Below are 25,379 nucleotides of genomic sequence, written 5' to 3'. Positions count from 1 at the left end.
ACTTGAACCTGGGAGGTGGAGGTTGCAGTGAGTTGAGAATGTGCCGCTGCACGCCAGCCTGGGCAACAATAGTGAAACTCTGTCTAAAATATATATATATATATATATCCCAAATCTAAAACACTTCTGGTCCAGACATTTTGGATAAGGGACACTCACTCTGTATTTGCAGTTCCGGGGCTGCCAGGGCATAGCCCAGAAGGGAGAGGAGTCGGGAAGGAAAGGTTTTGTCTCACCGGTCCTGTTGTGGGATGGCTTCTGCTCACAGGGCCCGGCAGGGGGCAGGGCTGACTCTGTGGATTCTTCTGGACGCCTCCTTCCTGTCCCGGGAGGCTTTGGCTGCACTTCCCACACCGTGGGCCAGGGGCATCCTGTAGGTGGCTGCTGCCCGCTCTAACCCTGGCTTTCCATGCCCACCCCACACTCATGCTCTGCTGTAGCCCTTCCCAGATTTACTTGTCCACATAATTCTGAAGAGGAGGAGGAGGAAGAGCTGTGTTTTGTCAAAGTTCTTGGCAGACCAGGCCCATGTTTGAACCCCAGAAAATATACTTGTTTTCTGCACTCTGTTGAACTCTGGGGAATCCCAGCCAATCCCACCTCAGATCTATCTTCTGTTTATTCCTAGCAGATAGCAGCCCCTTGCTGGCCTTTTTAGATTTTCCTGGTGGGAGCCAACTTTGTCTAGGCTTCTGCATCCCCAACTCACTGGAGACACACGTTACCATCTTCTCATAATCCACTGGGACGCTCTAACCAAGCCATGAGAGGGGCAGGCATTTCCAAAACAGCCCCTCATAGGGGCTGGAAATCTAAGCATCCCCAGATCTCCCTCCAAAGAAATCCTTTTGACCAAACGTCTCCTTCTCTCTAGTCACTTGAGCTTCTGATACCCTCAACAGTCGGGCCATTAGCCTGTTCTCGGCCCAAGCTTCCACCATGGCTCTTATTCCATGATAGGACCCCTCATTTCCCCCCAGCTGCATTCCTTCCCCAGGGTCCCCAAGCCCAGGAAATACAGGCTTCAGCATACTCAGCGGCTCAAGCTGTATCTTGGCGTCTTTGCTGACTCTTGCAGTCTAACCCCAGTGTGCCCTTTTGCTCTGGATTTGCCCATCTCACACCTCTCAGCCTTGGCACTTGCTGTGTCCCCTGCCTTCTCTCTCCTCCAGGGCCTGGCGAATGTGGCTCACCTTTGGCTGTCCAGGGTGGCTCTCGGTCTCCTGATTGCAAATCCTTCCTGTCTCCCAAAATAGCCTGAACTCTAAGGTTGTGGAAGTGCTGCCCTCTCCGGAGCTCTGGGGAGGCTCCCTGGGTCCTACAGATCTGAGTTTCATCTGACAACACATATATGGGCACGCTGGAACTCACCCATTCATTTGCTGAGCACCTATTACATGCCAGGCACTGAGCTAGGCACTCAGGATACAGTAGTAAAGAATCAATAACATCCCTGTACACACTCAGGAGCCCCCACAGCATATATGTGGACACACACACACACACGCACACATGCACACGCACACAGACATAAACAAAGACCCCAGTTTACAACAGGTTTCCTGGGGGCTGGACTTCATAAGGCCTAAGTTCATAGTCAATATGTAACAATAAAATGTCCCTCTTGGCCAGGCGAAGTGGCTCATGCCTGTAATCCTAGCACTTTGGGAGGCCAAGGCGGGCAGATCACCTGAGGTCGGGAGTTCAAGACCAGCTTGATCAATATGGAGAAACCTCGTCTCTACTAAAAATACAAAATTAGCTTGGCATGGTGGTGCATGCCTGTAATCCCAGCTGCTCGGGAGGCTGAGGCAGGAGAATCGCTTGAACCTGGGAGGTGGAGGTTGCAGTGAGCCGAGATCGTGCCATTGCACTCCAGCCTGGGCAACAATAGTGAAACTCTGTCTCAAAAAAAAAAAAAAAAAAAAAAAAAGTCCCTCTTGCTGCCTTCTCTCCCCGCGCCTGTGCTGGGCCGAAAACAGGAAAATGGCCCGCCTGTGCTCAGGAGGTGGGAGGCAGTGAGATGGGCATTGTATGTTCCAAATGGCCTCACTGAGTTCTAGTCCTAATACCTGCCATGCGACTCCAGACTGGCCACCCCTCCTCTGGATCATGATAGAAATGGCAGATGCTGCTGACCATCATCGACCCCTCTTTCTTCTCCTTCCCCCAGCCCTTCTAGGCTGGGGCAGCTCTCCTTCCAGAGCGTAAGGTGCCACCTCCAGGCAAGGCCCACTGGGCTAATCCCAGGCCTGAGGTTTTGTCCTGACTGGGCCTCCTTTAGAAAGTGCTGCCCCCCATTTCCTCCTAAGCAGAGTGGACAGAGGACATCATGCTCAGGGTGTCCTTTCCCCCAGGGGCATCCTGATTCATAGGACCCTTGTCACACACTGGGGCTGCAGCCACCTTCCTCCAACTTCTAGAGGTGGTCATTGTGAGGTTGGAGGCTGGAGCCCCATCCTTTTGGGCCACTGGTGGCAACACCCCTCCACCTCTCCTCTTCCTTCCCTGGAAGACTGGCACCCATCCTCGACACTGCCTCCATGCCTCCTCCTTCAGGAAGCCTGCCAGGTCTCTCTTCTATCTCAGACTGGAGGAACCCCGGCCCAACCCTCTGAGACATGTAAGCAGTATATTCACTTTTCTCCTCTCCAAGCTTTGCTCTAAGCCAGCACTTCTCAAACTGCCCGTGTATCTGAATCAACCGAGGTACTTTTAAAAGCCCAGATTTCCGGCCAGGTGTGGTGGGTTACACCTGTAATCCCAGCACTTTGGGAGGCCGAGGTGGGCGGATCACCTGAGGTCGGGAGTTCAAGACCAGCCTGACCAACATGGAGAAACCCCATCTCTACTAAAAATACAAAATTAGCCTCGCGTGGTGGTGCATGCTTGTAATCCTAGCTACTCAAGAGGCTGAGGCAGGAGAATTGCTTGAACCTGGAGGTTGTGGCGGAGGTTGTGGTGAGCTGAGATGGTGCCATTGCCCTCCAGCCTGGGCAAGAACTGGGCAAGAAGAGCGAAACTCTGTCTCAAAATAAAATAAAAAAAAAGCCCTGATTTCCAGAGCACCCCCGCCCCGACCCAAAGAACAAGAATCTCCAGGGCTGGGGCCCCAGAATCTGGATTTCTAGCAGAAGGCACAGATGATTATTAGGTCAGACAAGTACGGGACTCCTCTCTAAAAGAACTCAATGTTGCCTGAGTTCTCTTCTGCATCCCATTATTTCATTCTGCTACTGACAATGGGGCCCGTTATATTCATTCATTCATTTATCCAACAAATATGCATTAAATGCTCATTATATGCCAGGCACATGCTCCAAGCTGGGGACAGGGCAAGGAATGAACCAGAAGCCCTCCCTGCCCTCGAGGAACTTAGGGTTCAGCAGAGAAGACACAGACTTCAACCAGCAATGATCATTGACTATCAGGAGAGCGCCTTTTGGGGGGAAAATGCCCATTGGGCATGGAGAGCTTGCTCCACATCCACAGAATTTCTTTCTTTTTTGTAATTACTCAAAAAGGCTTCATTTTGTTTTTCTTTAGCTTTCTGAACTAAACACGCTGTGCTTGTTGTGCCTTCAACACTTTCCCAACAATTTCCTGCTCCACCATAAGGAAAGCACATCGACTCCTTTCCCAGACACATTCAGCACGTGCGGGACCACCATGGGCCTTGCTGATGTGTGTTTTCATTTTAGACAACCTCATAAGAACTGCGGATTCTGCCTGGGCACACACCACATGCAGATTTCAGTGCCTTCCAGACCATCTTGGCATAAAAGTAAACAATTCTATTGCCAGGGACTCAGGACACCGAATTTTGTTAGAGGCTGTATCATAGGAAAGCCTACAACGGTGTGTTACACGCTGGGCCATGCTGACTGCCTAAACTCCAGACATCTTTTAAAAACCTGACAGCTTTTCTAAGCCTGAACCTGTGCTAAATCACTTAGTCCTGGAAACAACCCTATGTGGTTGGGACCATTATTATGCTCATTTCCCAGAGGAGGGACTAAAAGAGAGGGCAGAGTCTGGATTTGAACCCTTGGACCAGGCATTTGCACAGGGGAGGCCCTCCCCACAGAGAGGGCGGCAGGAGGGCAAGGCCACCTCTGTCATTGGGGCCATGGTCTGGGGAGCTCCCTGAAGGCAGATCTGAGGGAGGAGAAGGAGTTAGGTGGAAGAAAAAAGGGAGATTGTTCCAGGAACCAGAGGAGCACAGCTCATTGATGATGGAGATATGGCAGAGGAGTTTAGGGCACTAGGAGACCCCAGGGGTCAGCAACTTCATCCAGGGCATCAAGCAAGCCAGTGTGGAGCATGACCTGACCTGCAGCCCATGAATCGGGCAGGGCGTCTGTGCATTTGCGGGTATGACCCACCCTGAGAAAGGAGGCTGGTAGCCACGAGGCTGAGCCCCTGGACTGGGAGTCAGGGTTGCTGAGTCCAAACCTTTTGTGGTCACTCACTCACCCTGACCCTGGGCAAGTTACTTAACCTCGCTAAGAATTCAGGTCTTAGGGTTATTGTGGGAATAGCTAAGATCATGTGTGCAAATTGCTGAACACTTAATAAATTCATATTGGTGTCTGTGTGGTTATGTGGCTCTGAGAATATTTCTGTTCAGTTTCAAGATGAGGAGACGGAGGTCCAGAGAGGCAGGTGATTGGTCTAAGGTTTCTCAGCCAGTAAGGGCCTCCAGGGCAGGGATATTTCCAGCACCCAACTTGCCCCAGGGGAAGGCAACCATGTGTGATTGCAGGATAGTGGGTTCCCTCAGTGCCTAAAAGACCCCCAGGCCTCTCAGCCTTTCACCTCTGTATCCTCCTGCTCCCACACACCGGTGAGGGCTCCATGCAGCTAGACTCTGGTCAGGACATCTGGGTGGGGGCCTGCTTCCAGTCTGAAAGAGGAACCCTGGGTCAGGGGTGGGCTCTGGGACCCTTGAGAGACCTGTGGCTAAGCCCCAACTCCAGAGACGTGATGGCCCTGGGAGGAGAAGACAGCCTGGGTGGACTCTCCCTGAATTTCCCATTTGTAAACAGTGCAGCCGGGGAGGGGTAGGGCCCAGTGCCCAGTGCCTGGTGGTGGAAGATGGCAGAGGTCCAGCAGCTAAGCAGAGGGGCGGGTGGGGATGAGCGATGGCTGTGGCTGTCAGCTGCGGACACAAGCGAAGCAGGCTGGAGCCTGTGGCTATTTCTCCTCCCTCCAGGACATGCGACCTCCTTGGCCAGCTCACAGCATTACCCAGAGCTTGAGCCTGAGCACCATGCCCAGCCCAGGAGCCAGCCAGCTCTGAGAGTCAGAGGACATTTTCCAACAGCCCCACTAGCCTTTCTCCTCTCCACATTCCAGCCCCCTACCTGCCAGACACAGAGCCCAGGGGAAGTTTCAAAATCCCTTTTTTAAAAAAGCCACAGCTGTGGTGATAGAGCAAGAAGAGACCCTGTCTGAATTCAGCCAAACCTAGAGTTGAATCTTGTTTTGGTCACTTATAGTTAAGTGACCTCAAGGTGGCCACTTCACCTCTCTGGAACCTCAGAGTTTTTTCGGCTGTAAAGTGGGGATAATCCCAATGACCCTTGTGTTGGTGCTACATGGGCTGAGTGAGAACACACCATAGGGACCCAGAAAATGTGTCATGAAAGACAGAACACTCTGAAATTAGCACATAGCAGGCCCTCTGTAAATATTTACTGATTAAATAGCAGGTGGGATCAAAAAGAAATAAATTATCCCTTCATCTGTGTCTTTTGTCTTTCCCTCCAGAAGCCCAAGGGAATTAGAGGCATTGACTGGGGGTGAGAGAAGAACAGGGTGAGACAGGGCATAATTCTTGGGGACGGAAGGCTGAGAACATTCTTAATGATGTCAGCTCCCGTGTGCAGAATACATTACAGTCTCTCAAGTGATGCTGATTCTCTCTGACATTAAGGCTCCTCTGGAAGGGAGATTCAGACACCGAGCCCATGAAGACAGATTTTAGGTTCTCATCTGATCTCTGTCTCTTACTGTTCAGCAACCTTAGACCAGACTCATGTCTCCTCTGAGCCTCTGTTTTCTTATCTATAAAGTGTGCATCCAAATACCAACTCTCAGGGCTATTGTGAGGATTAAATGAGTCAGGGGACTCATGCAATGTATGTCAAGTGCTTAGTGCTGGGCCTGGTGTCCAATAGGCCTTCAGCAAATGGTAGCTGTCATTATGATTACCTATCCTATCAGTTAGCTATTGCTGTGTAATAAACTAACCCCAAATTTAGGGCCCGAAACAACCACCATTTGTTTAGCTCATGATTCTGTGTGTGTGTCAGCCATTTAGGTTGGGCTCAGCTAGGTGGCTCATCTGGTCTTCTCTTGCGTCTGAAGTTGGCTGCAGGTAGGGTGGTGGTTCTGCTTCTGGGGGTAAGTTGGCTGTCATCTGGGATGATGGAGTACTGACCCACTTGCCTCTCATGCTCCAGCAGGCTAATTTGGGCTTCTTCATGAGGCAGTGGCAGGTTTTGAGAGAGTGAGGCAGAGAGAGAGAAGAAGTGGGGAGAAGTGTGCAAAACTCCTTGAGACTTAGGATTATAATTGACACACTGTGTTTTCCCCCACATTCCATTAGCCAAAGAAGGTCACACGACCAGCCATCAGAGAGGTGCTAGCTGTATAGTCATGTTGCAGAGAGCATAGATACAGGGAGGGGAATACATGTGACTATTTTTGCAAACAATGACCACATGCAACTAATTAGGGGACATCTGAGACAGAACCAAGTCCCTCAATTCCCAGTGCCATGACTCCCACCCTAGATGCTCACTCTGCCCTGTGACACTGGCAGGAAAGCTGGTTGCTCTCCCACGTGGCTTTCCCACTCCATTCTCCATTCCCCAGTCCCAGCCAGGCTGCCACCTTCACATTCCTTTTCTGAAGGAGATGGAAACCAGACTCCATATGGGACCAGGCACAGGCATCCCACACATGGAGTCATGGGGGTCTGATGACCTGCATCCCCCATAGACCGATGCAGGATGGAGTCCTTGCCCTGCTCAGTCCTCAGAGGAAGGAAATACACACAGCCCACCTGGACAACCCCTCTGCCCCAGCTGTCTGTTAAATAAACTCATTAAGCAATCCCTGACGAGGCATTTTAGATCATCACAAGCTACAGATAGTTTCCGTTGGCCTCTTGGAAAAGGTTTTCCTGACCACATAGACAGGAGGCCCAGATCAGTTCCCCTTGTGGGTAGGGGGTGCCTGGTTCTCATTTGCATTCACACTGTGATTGGTTCCCGTGCATCCTCTTGAACTCTGGGCCAGTCAGCCCATGGGACTGGATTCATTCCTCCATGTCCTGGTGGAGTGGCAGCCTCCACAGTGCCCCGGGCAATGAGGACATCAAGGGACAACAGCCAGCCTGGGGACCGGCTTGTCTTACCTTGTGCACTTCCTGGCAGGTAGAGACAGGGCCTTGATCACCTTTGCTGTCCTCTCTGTCCCTGACATGGGGCGCTTTTTCTGCTGTTTTTGTGTTTTTTTCCCTGTGCCTCCCCCACAACTGGACTGTCAGCTCCACAAACTTGTTTACCTTGGTGACCCCTGATTCCTTCCACAGTGCCTGGCATAGAGTGGGTGCCTGATAAATCCTTATTGCATAGATTGATGGAGGAAAAGTTGGGTTTAGTGGACTTGTGCCTCCTTAGAAAAGGCCTACTCCTCTCCTCTTTTTATGAACCAGGGGTCTTCATTCCCATTGGCCTTGAGAACTATTGGAAAGCACACAGAGTCACAGGCCCCAGGGGCCAACCCCAGTTTCTTCAGTCACTGTGACTCTGGACCTGAAGGTGGATTTGTGAATCCAATGTGAATGACTCCTGGATTGTGTAGTTGGTCAGGGCTATGGCAAACAGCTTAGCTTTTCCAAGTTTTGGTTTCCACACTGTAAAGGGGTGGGGGGAGCAAGTGTGTCTACACTGTTGGGGTGTCAGGGTTAAAGCTTAATACTAAATCCTTGGTGGCTGCTGTGACGATGATGATGATTGGGAAGGAGACAGGGTCCCATGGCTGCTGGGGTCCACCATGCCCTCCGCAGTGGCTGCCTGCACTTTCCTCTTGCTGCCCTGCTCCCTCTTTGCCTGCTGCGAGTCCTACCTCACCCCAAAGGGTCAGCCCTGCTCATCTTCCTAGCTCCCCCAGCTGCAGTCCTGCTCATAGCATTATTCTTACTCCCACTCTGTTCCTCCCCTCTGTGGGCTCCCTTGGGTTTAGAGCCTGCCCCTCTGGGGAAGGGCCTTGATATGGTTGGGCTCTGTGTCCCCACCCAAATCTCATCTTGAATTGTACTCCCATAATTCCCATGTGTTGTGGGAGGGATCCAGTGGGAGATAAGTGAATCATGGGGCGGTTTCTCCCACACTGTTCTTGTGGTAGTGAATAAGTCACAGGAGATCTGATGGTTTTATGAGGGGTAACCCCTTTTGCTTGGCTCTCATTCTGTCTTCTCTTGTCTACCACCATGTGAGACGTGCGTTTTGCCTTCTTCCATTATTATGAGGCCTCCCCAGCTACGTGGAACTGTGAGTCCATTAAAACCCTTTCTTTTGTAAATTGCCCAGTCTTGGGTATGTCTTTATCAGCAGGGTGAAAATGGACTAATACAGGCCTCTCTCCTTCCATTTTACCAGACCCCCACTGACCCACCAAGTGGGTTCCTCGACAGCTTCCCCATGGAAAGAACTCAGACACCACCCCAAGCGCCTGAGTCCTCTATGAACCAGGACCAAGAGGATTGGGTGCTGGGATCACAGGGCCCCTGTCACCCTGGAAGCCCCAAGCTGGGCTCACCCAGGTGTGTGATGCAAGGGCAGAGGATGGACCCCTCCACTCCTATCAGCTGCCACTAACATCCCTTCCCGCCCACTCAGTCCTCCAAGAGGCTGCTGGAGACTCTCCAGCTCTCTCCTTCCACTCCCCACCTCCACACAGCCCCTCTGCACTCCCAGCTGTTCTGGCTGGCCGCCCCTCTGCCCCCAGCATCCTGCAGGAAGCCCACTCCTATCCCAGGGGCTACTGCTTAAAGCATCTGAGGTCACTTGGGGAGAGGCACTTGGCTCTGGGCCTGACATTCCCCTTGCTCAGAAGGCAGGTGCTGGGGAAATGATGTCAGATGGGACAGCTGGGGGCCGGGGTGCTCACAGCTCAGATGTCCTCTAATGGCCCTCCTACCTGCTCACCTTCCCACTAGGCAAGAGGCTGAGTACAGGTCTTACCTGCCCCAGCCCCAGCCCCTTGGGCCAATCAGCCATCCCTGCCCCGGAGGCACCAAGGCCCAAAGTCCTCCCGTGGGCCTCATTCCTACTCAGGGAAGGTATCCCCCAGAGGATGGGAAACCTCCCCTTGAAGCTGGGGCCAGTCCTGGAATGGGCTGCTTGGGGAATGAGCTCACTGTGTACGTGACCGCATTTGGCTCCCACAACAGCACTGGGAGTGAGGAATGAGAGTCCCCATTTTCCCGATAAGACTAAGAGAGGTGAAGTTGCACAGCCTGTCACGTCCAGTGGCAGCTGCTCTGATTCTATTTGATTTCAGTTGGGAAGGGGATTGCCAGGGCAATGGCTGATTCCTGCACTGTGGCAGGGGCGATGAGCACTTCCTCCTACTTTCCTGTTTGTTCGACGCGCTGTTCATTCTACTTCCTTCCACAGGAAGGGGCCTTGGATGGGCCCCAGGGATCCCACAGCAGCACTTGGCTCAGACTGTGCTGTCAGCAGTCGGCAGTGTGTGCTGGTACGTACCTGTGTACGTGTGGCAGGGTGTGCTGTGTGCATGCGTGTGCTGTGTGTGCACGTGTGTCCTGGTGCATCAGTTGTGTGCAAGAGTCTCTACACTCATCAGAATGCAGGTGCCATGTGGGCAGGGGGTTTGTGTGTGTTCACTGCTGTGTTCCTAAGATCCTAGAACTGTGCTTCACAAATAGTCTGTGCCATTAAGTATTCATGGGATGAATGAATGAATAAATGAATAAACCTTAGCCTACAGCCTCTAAAGACCCCAGAGAACAGCCAGACATTTGCCCCGAGGCAGCGTAGCAACCTGGGTCTCTGTCCTTCTGCAGGGGAGAAAGGCGATGGGAGCGCTGGCCCAGGAGATGCCTGTTGGCTAGATGCTCCAGCGTCACCAGTGTGCCCCTCCACCCGGCTGCTCTCAGCCTGGGGGACCTGCTCACCTGGAAGATCATCTGGGGCAGAGGCTGGAGGCAGCTCTGCTAGGAGACAGGATGGTGATCAGCGGCAGAGGGGGCTCTGCAGTGTAGGCCCGGGAAGGCCAGGCAGGAAGACACTTGGCTTTCCCTGTTCACTACGGGCCACCCATGGCTTAGTCTCAGGGAAGAAGAGCTAGGGTTCCTCCCAGCTGGGAATGGACTGAGCCCTCAGGGGCCTTCAGGGCCTCGAGTGTGTGCGTGTGAGAGAGTGCATGCATGTATGTGCACATGTATCAGGCTGCCATTCACCAGTACTCACCCAGCCAGCCATACCAGTTATTATGAATAAAATGGAGAAATATTTCCACACCAGTTGAAAATTCCCCCCCAGCTCAATCTCTCAGAGCTCCTGCACCTCCCGCCAATCCATACGTAAGGATCCCATTCCAGCTCAGGCCTGACTTCCATACCTATTGGTCAGTGGCCATGCCAATCAGTGCCCCCCAAAGTCCAGCTCCCTGAACACATCCTAGGCACTGTCTCTAACCTCCCACGGGAGCCCAAAGAGCAACCCTTTGCTCCAGCCATTCTTCCTGGCTGCCCCAGGGAGCTGTGGGTGGGCACTGCCAAGGAGCACCCTTGTACTCTCCTCCACATGGTACCCATGTGCCAGTCCTTTGGGCCTGTCAGGGCCCTTGGCAGGAGAGATGGCAGCCCACAGAGGGCCCAGGGAGGGCAGCTGGAAGGTGTGGAAGCCCCAGATGGGCATGGGACAGATTAGTGGCTGCAGGGACGATTCTGAGTGTTAGACATGGGTCTATGTTCCCTCCCTCCCAAAACCTCACAGGCTGGGAGTAAGTGGGTTGCTGAAACTGGGTGCTCCCCAGGAGGTTGAAATGAGGAACCCAGCAGGCTCAGAGCTCACAGTGACCAGATTTCACAAAAGCGAGGGTCAGAGCCTCACACTACACACGTCCTGGGGCTGTTCTGGGAAATCTGGAAGGGCAGGAGCCAGTGGAGCCAGGAGGATGGTCTTTGAAGTCAGATACGTGGGGTTCAAATCCTGGCTCTGGCCCCTTCCAGCTGTGAGCTCTGGGCAGGATGGACGTGTCAGAGGAAGCAGCCCACCCCTTCGCTAACTTCTGACGTTTTCTCAGTCCTCTATTTTGCAAACAGCTTTGAGCCCACCCTCAGCCTGCCAGGCCCCGTGTCGCACAGGAAGATGGAGATGCAGCTGGACTCAAACTCAGGTCCCCTTGCTCCCAGTGAGAAAGCATTTATGAAAAGACACCCAACAGCTCTCTGCTACCCTTCCTGAGGGTGGAAGCTGTGGGGGGCCAGGGAAGTCAGGCCAGGTGGAACCATCGACATTTTCCTCTCCTGCCCCCATCCCAGAGGGAGGCGACCAAGGCCACAGAGGGACCCACAGCCGACCCCACCGCTGACACCTCCTCAGCTGCCACATTCGCTGAGAGGTCATCACGTGGCTTGGGACAGACATTACTCCAGGTCTGAAAATCTTCCGGAATCAACGCAAAGGGGTGCAAATAGGCAGATTCCTTGTCCCCACCCTAGATCTGCAGCGCCAGAATCCTTGAGCCTTGGAATCTGCATTTTCACAAGTGCTTCCACTGGAGTGGGACGCTGGCAGGCCCCGCGTTGGCGAAACTGGGAGTAACCACGGAACCTTTGGGCTCTGCCGGGCTCCTAGGCTGAGGCTGCAGCGCCGCCTGGTGGTCCCTGCTGAAACACCACTCTAGCCGCCGCCCCGCCTGGCCCCACTGCAGGGAGGCAAGAGTTCCCCTCCCCACTGGCTCCAGAAATGAGAGAAGGTGGGGCAAGTGCCCTCTGGACTTCATGACGCCGGGCAAGGGGCATGCTGGGGCTCAGTCGTCAGAGCCGTGCACAAGTAAGAGCAAGCTTCTTTTTCTTTTTCTCTCTCTCTCTCTGTCGTTTTCTTTTTCTTCCTTTCTTCTTTTTTGACAGATTCTCGCTCTGTTGCCCAGGCTGAAGTGCAGTGGCACAATCTTGGCTCACTGCAACCTCCATCCCCCGGGTTCAAGCAATTCTCCTTTCTCAGCCTCCTGAGTAGCTGGCATTACAGGCGTGCACCACCACACTCGGCTAATTTCTGTATTTTTTGGAGAGATGGGGTTTCACCATGTTGGCCAGGTTGGACTCGAACTCCTGACCTCAAGTGATCCACCTGCCTCAGCCTCCCAAAGTCTCACATTTCATCTTAAAAAGTCCCCTGAATTCTGCACATCTTACTCCATCACATTTCTTTAGTATGAAAATGTTTCCTTCCACAAATCTTTGCAGAAACGGATGCTCTAGAAAGCGATGCCAAGTTTATCCTGTGGCTTCCCTGTCCCCCATCACCAGCCCACTTTTGTGCAGCTTCTGGGGGCACCCATACCCTAGTTTCAGAAGCAGGAATTGAGAGGTACAATCTATACCTCTCTTAGCACCAAATCAAACTCCAGGCACCCCGGCATGCAGGCAGGCCCATCAGAGCCTGGCCCATCACGGTCCTAAGGTTCAGGCTGCAGAAGCAGATGCCTGCGGGGAGGGCAGAGCAGTGAGGGGTCCAGCAGTCTCCAGCAGACCCAGCCACTCTGCTCACACCCTCTGCCCTGGGTCCTCCCCTGCCCCAGGAAGCAGCATCCCTACCATTCCAGACTAGACTGTTATAAATCCTCTTTAATAGTCTTAGAATCTTGAGTGTGTTTTACAGAATGGTGCACACAAAGCCCCCTCCCCTCTCCCCCTACAAGGCACAGCCTCACCCACCCCACTCCCCAGGGGCCAGAGGACCGCTTGCCAAGAAAGGCCAGCCCACCTTCTCCCAGGAGAAGCCATCCTCCTCCTCCCCGCCCCTGGCCAGCTCCGGACCCTGGAGAATACAGGACCAGCTCTGTGCCATGCCCCCAAGGACTCACCTGTCCCTAAGCAGCTCAGGGCCAAGCCAGATCCCCTTACCCAGGCAGACCCCCTCCAGCCCAGCTCCCCTAGGCCGTGTCCCTAGGGCATGGCCTAGGCTAATCTGAGCTGTCTAGATGGACCTGCATCAGGCCTGGGGAAGGGGTGCCACCCCTTAATATCAGGTAAAACCCACCCTCTCCCCTCTCCCACTGCCTTCAATATAATTGTGAAAAATAAAGATATAAATGTCATAGTGGGAAATAAGTTGACCCACCCAGTAGGCAGTCTCCTGACAGCCCAGAGTGCCTTATCTAACGCCCTTCCCTCCCCAATTTTTTTTTTTTTTTTTTTTTTTTTTGAGACGGAGTCTCTTTCTGTCCCCCAGGCTGGAGTGCAGTAGCACGATCTCAGCTCACTGCAACCTCCGCTCCCGGGTTCACACCATTCTCCTGCCTCAGCCTCCCAAGTAGCTGGGACTACAGGTGCCCGCCACCGCGCCCGGCTAAATTTTTTTTGTATTTTTAGTAGAGACGGGGTTTCACCATGTTAGCCAGGATGGTCTCGATCTCCTGACCTCGTGATCCACCCGCCTCGGCCTCCCAAAGTGCTGGGATTACAGGCGTGAGCCACCGCGCCCGGCCCCCTCCTCCCCAATTTTTCATACAGTTGCCCCTATACAATATACACACCCTTGAGGGCAGGTAGAAGTCCAGCCCACCTGCGCCAGGGACGCTGTGGGGAGCATTTTTCTCTGAGTTGCTAAGAGAACCCTGATGGGCGGTGAGCAGAGGAACCACAGAACAGCCAGGGCTCAAGGCTGGCAGCGGATAGGCCAGGAGAGATCGCTAGGCCCCAGAAAGCCCCCTACTTTCAGTCAGGATGGGCAAGAGGGTCTTCGCAGTGAAGTGGGAGGCAGGCCTGGAGGAGGGAGCCAGGGAGACCCCTGGGAGCCCTGAGGTTGGGGGCCAGGCAGGGAGATGGGGATAGCAGCTGCCTCAGTACTTGGGGACCTTGCTGTAGTCTTCGGAATGGACGTGCCGGCACAAGCAGATGGACAGGACCATCCCCAGGAGCTGTGGGGAGAGGCGGAGAGTCAGAGGGAGGCTGGGTGTCCCGGCCTCAGACGCCCCAGCCTCACCATCCAGGTTTACATGGGGATTAAGTGGATCCTCAACTTGAGCCTCACAACCACCCTGTGATGCAGGCAGCAGAGGGAGGCCCAGAGCGGGGCAGTGCCTTGTCTGAGGTCACACAGCCAGACAGTGCTCAGACCAGAGGGCCTCTGGAAGCTGATGGGGTGCTGGCCCCCTTGGCCACCACCTCCCCAAGGAGATCAGCAGAACAGAGACAACCCAGGAGGACCTGGGATGGAGAAGGGATGGGGGAGGGGGCTCAGACCTCGATGATGGCCACACCCACGCCCACGCCGAGGATGATGCCCAGGTTCTCCTGCAGCCACGCCTGCACCTTCTCCATGCAGCCCTGCAAGGGCAGAATGCGGTCACATCACCCCGCTCTGCACCATCCCACCCCGCCATGCAGAACCACCGAGAGCCCCCCAGTCCCAGCCCGGAAGCCCCTACAGAGGGCTCTGCCTGTTCCTTGAATAAATACATTAACAAAGAAGTAGATGAAGGTACAAATGACAGATGAATTAAGGGAAGGAACTAAATGCAGGAAGGAATTGCTGAGCAGTAGCCCAGATGGCCCCCAACGCCCTCGGAGCCCCGCCCCCGATCCGCAGCCCCCCGCACACCTCCTGGTACACAGGCCAGTCCTCAGGGTGGTTGCCACTCTGGGTCCTGTTGCCGGGGGCCTCGCAGAAGCCCTTCCTCACAGAAAGGCTGTTGTCCTCTTCCCCCTTGACTTCGCAGGAACAGGGGTAGGTGACCTCAGGGCGATTCATGAGCTCAGCGTTGTCTGTCCAGTTGTAGAAGCTGACCCAGCCGCAGCACTTCACCTGGGCAAGGCAGGGGACAGACTGCTTGTGCTCACGGCTCACCCTAGGCAGGCTGCCCTCCTGGCAGAGGGAGGACCTCCCCAGGACAGAGACTGAGATATGCCACTTCCAGGCCCCTGGTCCCAGCCGAACCATCATAAACTACAAGTACAGCAGAAAAATCAAAACCAGGACCAGCAAAAATACAAAGCAGAGTAGGAAGGAAGTTCAAGTTGAAGGAGCGCAGGTGTGCAGGGCACAAGGAGAATGGACGGCAGACAGTTCACAGTGCAGGGTTTAAAGTCAGGCTACTGGGTTACAATCCCAGCCCTGCCGCCTACCAGCTGAGCAACCTCCATCAAGGAACTAGCCTCAGTTTCCTCATCTGTAAATGGGGATAATTAAAATCCCCAACTCACAGGGCTATCACAAGGACTAAATGGGATGAGGCAGGCAAAGTACCAAGCATAGGTGTGGGGAGCACAATAAGCTTAGGAAAGGCCGTTCAACTTTAGTGCAGGAGTTGAGATTTGCCTCTGAGCTTCCTGGTGAAAAGGAAAAAAAGTGAAAAGTGAAAAAGGAGACGGGGTCAATTCCGCCTTTTTTTTTTTTTTTTTTTTTTCTGAGACAGAGTCTTGCTCAGTCACCCAGGCTGGAGTGCAGCAGCGTGATCTTGGCTCACTGCAACCTCCACCTCCAGGGTTCAAACGATTCTCCTGCTTCAGCCTCCTGAGTAGCTGGGATTACAGGCACTCGCCATCACGCCCGGCTAATGTTTGTATTTTTAGTAGAGACGGGGTTTCACCATGTTGGCCAGGCTGGTCTTGACCTCCTGACCTCAAGTGATCCGCCCGCCTCGGCCTCCCAAAGTGCTGGGATTACAGGTGTGAGCCACCTTGGCTAGCTGGTCAATTCTGCCATTTTAAAGGAGAAAATGCTCTAGTTCTAGAGAGAAGAAAGCCTTTCCGGGCTCTGTGTGCTAAAGGAGGTCTCTGTGTGTGAATCCCCGCAATGCTGGGGGTTCCTGGGAGGATTCAATGGGATAGCCACGGTCACAGCAGGGGTCAGTTCCTGGACCGCTTCCTTCCTAGCTCCGAGGGGTGTCGCCTGACCAGTAGCCAGTGGCCAGCAGGGGGCGTGCCAGGCACACTCAGAAATGCTCAGCTCCAGGCAGTTTCTAATCCAGGTTTACAGGTGCTTGTTCCAGCAGCCGGGCTGCCTCCTCTCTCCAAGAAAAGGCTGGCACCTCTGAGGGGTGCACAGGTCTGCAAGGCTGGGGGCACCCACAGGCCATCCTACACCAGAGCAAAATGAGGCAGGTCTCCTTGGCCCGTCTACGACAGAGCCTCCTTCCAAGCAACCCCTTGGCCTGACTCCGGCTGTACCTGGTCCCCAGCAGCACACGCCACCTCCGCCTGTGTCTCCATGGATGTGCATGGTGACTAAAACATCACCACCAACATACCACATAATAAATGCTGCCTAAGTGCTTCAGGCTTTAACAATGTATCTCACACGGCATGGGTCAGTAGCCCCATTGTATAGATGAGGAAGCAGGCTCAGCAAAGGTCTAGCGGCTGTGGCAGTGTTAGCACTCCAGGCCTTGGGAGTCTGACTTACCACCGGCCTAAGCAGCATCTGACAGCATCAGAATCATCTAGAACCAGCCAATGACTTTCCAGGGTAGGATGCTTACCACCTCCCAAGGGACCCACTTCTCCTCCCAGGTCCCTTGTCAGGTGGCACTGGTTTATGTCACTGGTGACATCCAGACTTTGCTAAAATTAGCAAAGTCTCAGCAATTGTGGGTCAAACTACATATGCGACCAAAACATTTCCTTGTGTGCACCAAGCCTTCCAGCTGCCACAACCCCCACACCTGATCTCCTCGGTCAGGGCCAGAAAACATCGCTCTCCCCTTCCTCCACTGAGAAAATGGCCATGTCCATGTCACCTAGATGGAGTGTCCTCTCTGCAAACTCTCCTGGTGCCGCTGAGTCAGGCTTTCTCCTGCTGCCCATGCCCTTTGTACTCCACATCCCTCCCCTGAGGTGTCAACAGGCCCTAAGTGACCACTGTGTCCTGCGCCCTCACAGGATTGCAGATCAGAGATGTCAGGTCCCAGCCAAGGGCACATGCAGCATCCGGGACCACAAGAAAGGAGAGCCAGGTGGTCATTGGATCACTATTGAGACAGGCTGGGAACCTGGTCAGTCTATCTGTTGGTCAGTCGGTCAGTCCGTCCGTCCATCTGTCCACCCATCCATCCATCCATCTCTCTCACTTTAATGGAGGTATAATACACATGAACTAATGGGCACACATTCAGCTTGGTGCATTTTTACGTATGTGCACATACTGGCGAAACCAGTATCAAGATTTGGCTAAAATACTCCTTTTGCCCTAGAAGGCTCCCCAACACCTCCCCAGCTAGTGCCCTTCCCCAGAGGCAGCCTTCACTGGGACTTCTCAGCATATCAGCCTTGGCTCCCAGTTTCCTAAAACCCAGAGTGGAGCTCCCAACGCTCCCCAGTGTAGCTTGAGATAAGAGGGCTGACAACTGCCCCCATGCTCTCTGGCCACAAATGGGAGCACAGAGCTGTGAAGCTGCCTCTGAGTCTCTGGGCCCCCTGAGCAGGGAGTTGTGGTGCTAACTGGGGTGCCCTGCCCCCATAGAAGCACACTCTCCTACAAACTGTCAGGCACACACGAGCACTGCAGATGCCAGTCCCAGACATGTGGGTGCACAGAGCCCCAAATGCAGGGACACCCAGGCCAGAGAGCCTCCTGCAGCCCCGCCCCACCTCACCTGAGCCTGCACGTAGTCCCAGGCATCCTGCAGGCTGTCCTCGCGACTGCTGTTGTAGTCTCGAATGAGCTCAGTCACGATGCCGCCCATCTCCTGCTTCAGCTGCAGGGGGGAGGACAAAGGTCAGGGTCAGATTTCCTGAAACCCGTGCCCACCTGTGGTCACCCCTACTTAAACTGCCTCCCCCCGTTCCCCTCAGCAACCCTGGGACACGCTCATGGCTCCAGCCACTTTCCTGGCGCTCCCAGGGTGCCCGATGCAGGCAGTGCCAACCACTCCTGCCCCACTATCTCTTCTGCGCTTGGCAGCAGCCTGGCCCTGTAAACATCAATATTCTCATGTCACTGCTGAAAACCCCGTAGGGGCCTCCCACCTCCAGGGCAGTTCCCACCGTCATTGTCCCCATAACAGCCTAGGAGGTCCTACACCACTTGTCTGCCTCCCCAGGCCTTCTGTCCTCTGTTCTTCCTCCCTCTGCTTCAACTGACTAGATTTCTGTGCTGTCTTTGTGCCAGGCACACTCCTGCCTTGGGGCCTTTGCACCTGCTGTTCCCACCGCCTGGAATGCTCTTCCCCTAGACATTAACATGGCTCACCCTCTGCTTCCTTCAGGGCTCTGCTCCAATGTCACCTCCTCAGAAAGGCCTTACCAGACCACTCTACAAAATATCAGCCCTTCCCCATCCCCTCTCCCCCAACCAATCAACCACCCCTCCCCGGCCTCCCTTATCCCACAAGGGAAAGCATGCTGTATTTCTCTTTAGAGCACTGACGTTACATGCTTGTTGGTTTTCAGGGCTTATCATCTCTCTCCACTAGCACATCAGCTCCGTGGGGGCAGGGACCACATCTGGCACGCTCACTACAGGGTCCCCCGTGGCTAGCGCCAAGCCTGGCACAGAATAGTTGTGTGGGGTACGTGAATGCTGAATGCACACCTAACCACCATGGTCTGCCAGGCACCAGAGCCAGACCCATGCAACTTCTTGGTGAATCCTTACACCTCCCACAGGGCAGCTTCAGGGAGAAGGAGGGACAGGGAGGAAAGCCCAGCTCAGTTTCCTTCTTCCAAGGACCAGAGTGCAGCCTCTCCAAACAGGGCCCCCAAGACAGCAGGGTAGATGCCTGGAGGGGGCCCCAAGACTGAGGGACCTGGAACTTCGGTATCAACTATATGGTCAAAAGATCCTCCCTCTATGTAGTCATGGTGGTGGGTGCCCGTAATCCCAGCTACTCAGGAGGCTGAGGCAGGAGAATTGCTTGAACCCAGGAGATGGAGGTTACAGTGAGTCGAGATCGCACCACTGCACTCCAGCCTGGGCGACAGAGTAAGAGTCCATCTCAAAAAACAAAAAACAAAAACAACAACAAAAACAACAACAACAAAAAACAAAACAGAAAAGATCCTCCCTCACCCCTTCCCAAGCCCCAAGCCAGCAGTGCCAGCCAGCCGGAGTGTGAGGTCAGTTGCCTTTCTGGGACCTGGCTACTTGCCCCAGAGCTCCAAAAACATCTCACTTTTTTTTTTTTGTTTTGCTTTGTTTTGTTTTTTTGAGACAGGGTCTCCCTGTCACCCAGGCTAGAGGGCAGTGGCAGGATCTCAGTTCACTGCAACTTCTGCCTCCTGGGGTTAAGCAATCCTCTCACTTCAGCCTCCCAGGTAGCTGGGGCTACAGGCATGAGTCACCATGCCCGGCTAATTTTTGTATTTTTAGCAGGGACAGGGTCTCGCCATGTTGCCCGGGCTGGTCTCGAACTCCTGACCTCAAGTGATCCACCCAGCCCAGCCTCCCAATGTGCTGGGATTACAGGCCTGAGACACCTCGCCTGGCCCAAATCTACATCTTGCCTATGCTGGTCCTCACCCTGCTCAGGAATTAAGGGTTCCTTCTTGTGGTGGAGAGCAGCACCTGCTCTCAGCTAACCCCACAGAGAAAACACTGATTTACAAAGCAGGCAGAGAAGGGGTTTCTAAATAAGTCAGTTGTGCAAAAGGAGGCAAACCCAGAGCCCGCTGAGGGCAGGGCCTCCCTCGGCGATAAGCAGGCCTGGGTGGGAGGGGAGCCTCCGAGAGCCAGCCCCTGCCTGGCTCCACCTAGCCTCTCACATGGACCTTGCCCAGAGACCTTTCAGGGCAAATGCATGGTTGGACTGGTCAAGGCAGTGGGGGCGAGGGACCCTAGAAGGCAGGGATGCCAAGGAGAAGGCCACACACCTTCCCACCTCGGTTCCTGAGAAGGAAGAATTGGGAGAAATGAGACAGGTACTTCCAGGTGGGGTTTCAGAGCCTGACTCCCAGGGAACCCTGTTGGTGGAGCTTCCAGCAGCTCCCCATGGGCAGTCCTTGAATGAACGCTGTGCTCAGAGAACCCATATCCTGCAGATGGACCTGCAGCCCTGGCTCCTCACCCAGCTCCCTTGGTTAAATTAATGCTGGGGCTGGCCATGGTGGCTCACGTATGTAATTCCAGCACTTTGGGAGGCCAAGGTGGGCAGATTACGAGCTCAGGAGATCGAGACCATCCTGGCTAACATGGTGAAACTCCATCTCTACTAAAAAAAAATACCAAAAATTAGCTGGGTGTGAATGGCAGGTGCCTGTAGTCCCAGCTACTCGCGAGACTGAGACAGAAGAATCGCTTGAACCCGAGAGGTGGAGGTTGCAGTGAGCCGAGATCACGCCACTGCACTCCAGCCTGGGCGACAGAGCCAGACTCCATCTCAAAAAAAAAAAAAAAAAAAAAAAAAAATTAATGCTGGGAAACCAGCCTCTGATGACGCTCCCTGCCCTTCTCTCAATAAAGCTCTCAGCATGATATTTAAAAAAAAAAAAAAAAAGCCCTTATACAGAGTTCTGCAATTTACAAAGCTTTCCTGTCAGTAATTAATCCCAACACTAATAGTGGCTAACTTTTATCAAATGTTTGTTATGTACCTGGTGCTGTGGTAAGCACTTTAAATGTATTATCTCAACTGAATCTTCACAGCAGACCTATGGCCTAGGTATTCACCCCATTCCCTCATTATAGAGATGCAGAAAACAAACCCAGAGAGGTTAATTAACTTGCCCAAAGTCACACAGCCAACATGCGGAAGAAGTGAGGTTTGCACACAGGCTTGGCTGATTTCAGAACCCAGGTTTTTACCTATTAAGCTTTATTGGCATTTAAACCACACGGCTATACCCAGTTTTAACCAGGGCCCAGAAAAGCTAAGTGGTTTGCCTGAGTCACATAGCTGGGGCTGTCTGCCAGGTGATCTGACATCTCGGGTCCACCTCTCAACCCCAGTGGGTGGGTGATCCCCACGGTGTGGAAAGGAGGGGCTCTCTAGAAGCATCTGTGCGGAAAGCTGCCTCTCCCACATCCTTCCCCACCCACCCAGCTTCCTCACAACATGTTGCACTGAGGCTCTGTTTAAACCCCAGCGTGGTTGTCACAGCAGCCTGGACTTCCCTGTTTCTCTCCCAGCCTCCCTGAAATGAGAAGGTGATGGAAGCTGGGTGGTTTCCACCTAGATGGGTGGTTTCCATGGAAACACCACAACATCTTTCAGTCCAGAATGTGGTTGAGGGACACACCTGGGCCACGGGGACCATGGCCACAGGGGCTGGTTCAGCTTGGAGCTGATGCTCAGGAGGCCTGTGCTGGGAGTGCAGGGAGGTCACCCTGGCAACCAGGTAGCTACTGAGACAAAAAGGACAGGGAGGTAGCAGGAGAAGACATTCATGAGCTCCCTCCATCCCCCCAGGGACCGCTCCATTGTTTCTGCCTGCCCTGCAGAAACCCACTCCTTGGATGTAACCACCCTTCTATTTCTCCATGGAGCTGAGGAGGCCCCACTCCCTCGATGCCAGAAGCAGGCAAAAGACCTGGGCTGCCACTCAGTGCCATCCACATCACAGGCACGGCGAGTGGTTCAGAGATGGGCTTGAGACCCATGCTCACATACCCGGCCCTCTTTCCATCAATGTGGTAGGATGAGGACCTGGGCTACCCTCAGGCTCCACTGGGGACAGCCTGCCCGAGAAGGGAGCCAACAGAGGAGGGTAGGGCTGAAGGGTGAATAGGGACAGCAGCAGCCTTTGGGATCCAGCTGAGCCTTCTGCTGGCTCTGGCTACTTTCAGTTGAGTCACTGTCACATGCCATAAAGAGTCCTGCCCAGGGCCAGCTGCATAATTTACACCTAGTGCAAAGCAAAAATGCAGGGCCCCTTGTTTAAAAATTATTAAGAATTTCAGCTGGGCGTGGTGGCTCACACGTGTAATCCCAACACTTTGGGAGGCCGAAATGGGCAGATCACTTGAGGTCAGGAGTTCGAGTTCAGTCTGGCCAACATGGTGAAACCCCATCTCTACTAAAAACACAAAAATTAGCTGGGCCTGGTGGTGTGTGCCTGTAGTCCCAGCTACTTGGGAGGCTGAGGCAGGAGGATCACCTGAGCCCAGAAAGTGGAGGTTGCAGTGGGCCGAGATCATCCCACTGCACTCCAGCCTGGGCAACAGAGCAAGACTCTATCTCAAAAAGAAAAGAAAAAAAAAAGAATTTCAATACAGCAACAGCAGATTATCCTGTGTGACTGCATAGGTTGAATGCCGAGGAAGCCAGCCCTGTCTTCCCTGTCTCCCTCCTCCCCATTTCTCAGAAGAGAAAAATGAGGCTCAGAGTTGGAGCAACTTCCCAAGATCACATAGATAGAAAGCAGCAGAGACATGACCAGACCTTGATCTGTGCAGCTCCAGGGACCCGGGATCTTAGCCTCGGCAAGCTGCCCAGGGCCTCCCCATGACCCTGCTGTCCTCTGCATGGCTCTACTCACGTCCCACCCAAATGCTGAGCTTTGACTTCTCTTTTAGTGTGAATTTTCACAGAGTCAGAGTTAGGAGAGACCTTTGCGTCCAGCAAATCATCCAAATGTAAGAGTCATGCTTTTTTAGGCTCTGCTTAAATGCTCCCTGCGATGGGGAAGTCAGTACCTCACACAATAGCATGTTGCGGAGTTGAGAGGCTCTGATACAATTTAAGTTCTGCTCAAATGACTTCTACCCACTTGTATTAGTTCACATCCTCCTCCTCTCTCAGCTACCCAAGTCCCAGCTAGGACCACAGGAACAAATCAAATCCCTCTCTCGAAGGACACATGTCATCCAGATACTTGAGACTAGACTACATCTCCAGGGTAACTTTTCGGGCTCCTGTGCCCGCCCCTTGGGGTGCTGTGCAGACCTCTTGCCATGCTCTTTAAGGTGTGAAATAGCCCCTTATAATAAGGTATAAATGCATGAATTGGACCCACATCTTCCTGTCCTCTCCAGGTTTCCCACATGAGATGTTGGCAAATGCTTTGCTAGAATACAGATACACCAGCTCAGAGGCTGCATCCCAGTACCCTGATAGGAAATGAGGGCGCTTCCTGCATCTTTTCTGCAAGTCCAGCTGCAATCCACGTAATTAGCTACCCCAGAATGCAGAGCCAGTGACCAGCGTGTGCTTCAGAGATTCTAGCCCAAGTGTCTTTCCATAATCCCTTTCCAGAGGGGTAGCCTGGACTCCTCCATTCCCTTCTCAACAGGGGAGAGAAAGGTCACCTCTCCCTGTCCCAGGCTCCAGCTGCTCTTCCTCCCTCTGCCCCATCGCAAGAGAACCCCAAGCCAGAGAATCAGGAAGTTCTAATTCAGCAAGCAGACAGTTCACAGAGAACCACACTGTCCCCTAGGAACCCGTCTCGCCACCTGTGTCTCACACATGAGGGTATGTGCGCACCAACAATTTGGGGCTTTCAGGGTGAGAGCAAGGAGGACAAGAAGGAAGTCACAGTTCCCCTGACCAACATCTCTGGGGAGTTGTCTGGCCAGCCACTGCCACTGTCACAGCCCCCACCTCTGGCTCCCAGCCAGGCCAAGTGAGCCCCTTCCCCTCCAATGTCTTCTGCTTGAGCGTGACAGCACTCAGAGCCTCAGGGGCCTCCCTGGCACAGGTATGGCCTGCCAAGTGCACCCAGCTCAGCACCCACACACCACAGGAAAGGGCAAACTGCATTCACTTCCTTCTCACTCCTCCCACCTCCACTCTCTAGAGAGAACAAGTCAGAATCCCTGACTGCCTGCACTGGGCATGGCCCAAGAGCTCGCCTGTGGATCAGAGAGTCTGGGTAACTTATCCGAAGCCACACAGCAATCAGCGGCAGAGCCCACACTAAAACACAGGGCCCCTGAATCCCAGGGCTGGGCTCTGCTCACCAGAGGCTGGATAAACAAGCAGATGAGGATCTTAGCACCGTGCCCAGATCCCCATTCCCGCAGCCCTTGCTCTGCTGACAACGAGGGCAGCAGGAACAGCTGCCACCTATTGAGCCCTTACCAGGCCTTCATGAAGTGAATAATGGCGGCAATAATAATAAACACTGGCAATGATGCCAGCAACATCAGCCTCCGGCTGAGTGCCGCACGACGCCCTTCCCGTTTGTTAGTGCTCTTCATCTCTGAAGTGCTGCAAGGCAGCCCCTGGGGGCTCCGGCTCGAGACAGGATCAGATTTTAGAAAGGGCCTGGAGGGACAGATCACACCCACTAGTGGGGGCTGGGGCAGCAGCCTGCAGTGAGTCTCATTTCTATTTCCCTAGGGACACCCGAATGGGGCAGGCAAAGGCCATACATAGCCTTGCTTCTGTTCAGGTTCAATTTTGCCACCAAATTAGTTGCAAATGCTACTTTTGGTTTTTAAAGTGTTTCTTTGGATTTCAGAATTGCAGAGAAGGGACAGTGGGCCTATATTGTTACTAGTTTGACAAATGTGGAAACTGAGGCACAGGGAGGCTGAGTAGCATGCCCAGAATGTCAGAGCAGTGGTTCCACAGTCAAGACCCTTGGACACCATTCTGCATTTTCACAGAAGTGTCACAGTCTGTGTTCACTTCAACCTGAGTGGTAGAGCAGGGAGAGGCAGATTTATTCTCAATTTATAGAAGCAGAACCCAAGGCTCCAGAGGTGACAGGCCATGCCAAGGTCCCCAACCTCCCCATCGCTGCCCTGAGAAGAGTGGCTGCGGGTGACAGAGGCAGGAAGGACAGAGGGCAGCCCTGGAGACCACAGCAGGGTCACTCCCACCCACCTGCACGGGAGCCCTATCTCCTTTCAAAAGGCCTTTCTTTTCCTTAGGTTCAAACAAGTCCCACCCCCACGCTGAGCCTTGTCTGCCAGAATAAACACATCAAGAGTATGTTTAGTCTTCCACTGAGATTTATGATGCGTTGCGAAAGAAAAAAATATATTGTTCATTCCAATTCGGGCGATACAGTGGCACCAGAACTTCTTCAGCAAAGCCAGAAAATTTCCCCCTGCCTTCCAGAAAAGATGGTGGTGGACTAAGGTGAGGCAGGCTGGGACTAGGGGGTGTGGACTCTGAAGGGGAAGACAGGGGCAGGGGGTGCAATGCACAGAGCTTGGCTGGGGTCGAGAAACCCAAATCTCCAAACAAGTCCTGTTCTGGGGCTGATAGGACACCTCTGAGGCTAAGCT

The 25,379-nt window shown here is 53.6% G+C and overlaps 1 protein-coding gene and 1 pseudogene across 7 annotated transcripts in view, besides 6 other annotated features; both read right to left on the bottom strand.

The window, feature by feature from the left end:
- Positions 3,562 to 3,879, bottom strand: RPL34P22 (ribosomal protein L34 pseudogene 22; annotated as a pseudogene).
- Positions 4,774 to 4,833: an enhancer, noted in NCBI's record as "active region_4661". NCBI's record gives its function as "activates an Ori minimal core promoter by ATAC-STARR-seq in GM12878 lymphoblastoid cells {active_cell/tissue: GM12878}" and the evidence as "EXISTENCE:reporter gene assay evidence [ECO:0000049][PMID:35858748]".
- CD82 (CD82 molecule) overlaps positions 12,878 to 25,379 on the bottom strand; it is a 55,950-nt gene continuing 43,448 nt past the window's right edge. For 6 of the 7 annotated variants that reach the window (XM_047426900.1, XM_047426903.1, XM_047426904.1 and 3 more), the window contains 4 exons: positions 17,863 to 17,964; positions 14,871 to 15,074; positions 14,513 to 14,596; positions 12,878 to 14,187 (listed from right to left, as the gene is read on the bottom strand). In XM_047426900.1, the coding sequence (XP_047282856.1) occupies positions 14,110 to 14,187; positions 14,513 to 14,596; positions 14,871 to 15,074; positions 17,863 to 17,964 (468 nt within the window). In that variant the 3' untranslated portion in view covers positions 12,878 to 14,109. The remainder of the gene's footprint in view (positions 14,188 to 14,512; positions 14,597 to 14,870; positions 15,075 to 17,862; positions 17,965 to 25,379) is intronic. The other variant, XM_047426901.1, reaches the window with a different exon arrangement.
- Positions 16,470 to 16,819: an enhancer, noted in NCBI's record as "active region_4660". NCBI's record gives its function as "activates an Ori minimal core promoter by ATAC-STARR-seq in GM12878 lymphoblastoid cells {active_cell/tissue: GM12878}" and the evidence as "EXISTENCE:reporter gene assay evidence [ECO:0000049][PMID:35858748]".
- Positions 21,001 to 21,050: a silencer, noted in NCBI's record as "silent region_3277". NCBI's record gives its function as "represses an Ori minimal core promoter by ATAC-STARR-seq in GM12878 lymphoblastoid cells {active_cell/tissue: GM12878}" and the evidence as "EXISTENCE:reporter gene assay evidence [ECO:0000049][PMID:35858748]".
- Positions 21,121 to 21,200: a silencer, noted in NCBI's record as "silent region_3276". NCBI's record gives its function as "represses an Ori minimal core promoter by ATAC-STARR-seq in GM12878 lymphoblastoid cells {active_cell/tissue: GM12878}" and the evidence as "EXISTENCE:reporter gene assay evidence [ECO:0000049][PMID:35858748]".
- Positions 23,663 to 23,832: an enhancer, noted in NCBI's record as "active region_4659". NCBI's record gives its function as "activates an Ori minimal core promoter by ATAC-STARR-seq in GM12878 lymphoblastoid cells {active_cell/tissue: GM12878}" and the evidence as "EXISTENCE:reporter gene assay evidence [ECO:0000049][PMID:35858748]".
- Positions 23,836 to 24,336: an enhancer, noted in NCBI's record as "H3K4me1 hESC enhancer chr11:44630450-44630950 (GRCh37/hg19 assembly coordinates)". NCBI's record gives its function as "activates a minimal SCP1, AML or CMV promoter by ChIP-STARR-seq in primed H9 embryonic stem cells {active_cell/tissue: H9 hESC(primed)}" and the evidence as "EXISTENCE:reporter gene assay evidence [ECO:0000049][PMID:30033119]".

The sequence above is a fragment of the Homo sapiens genome, chromosome 11 (genome assembly GCF_000001405.40).
Source record: "Homo sapiens chromosome 11, GRCh38.p14 Primary Assembly".
NCBI lineage: Eukaryota > Metazoa > Chordata > Mammalia > Primates > Hominidae > Homo > Homo sapiens.
This window is presented reverse-complemented; position numbering and strand designations above follow the sequence as displayed.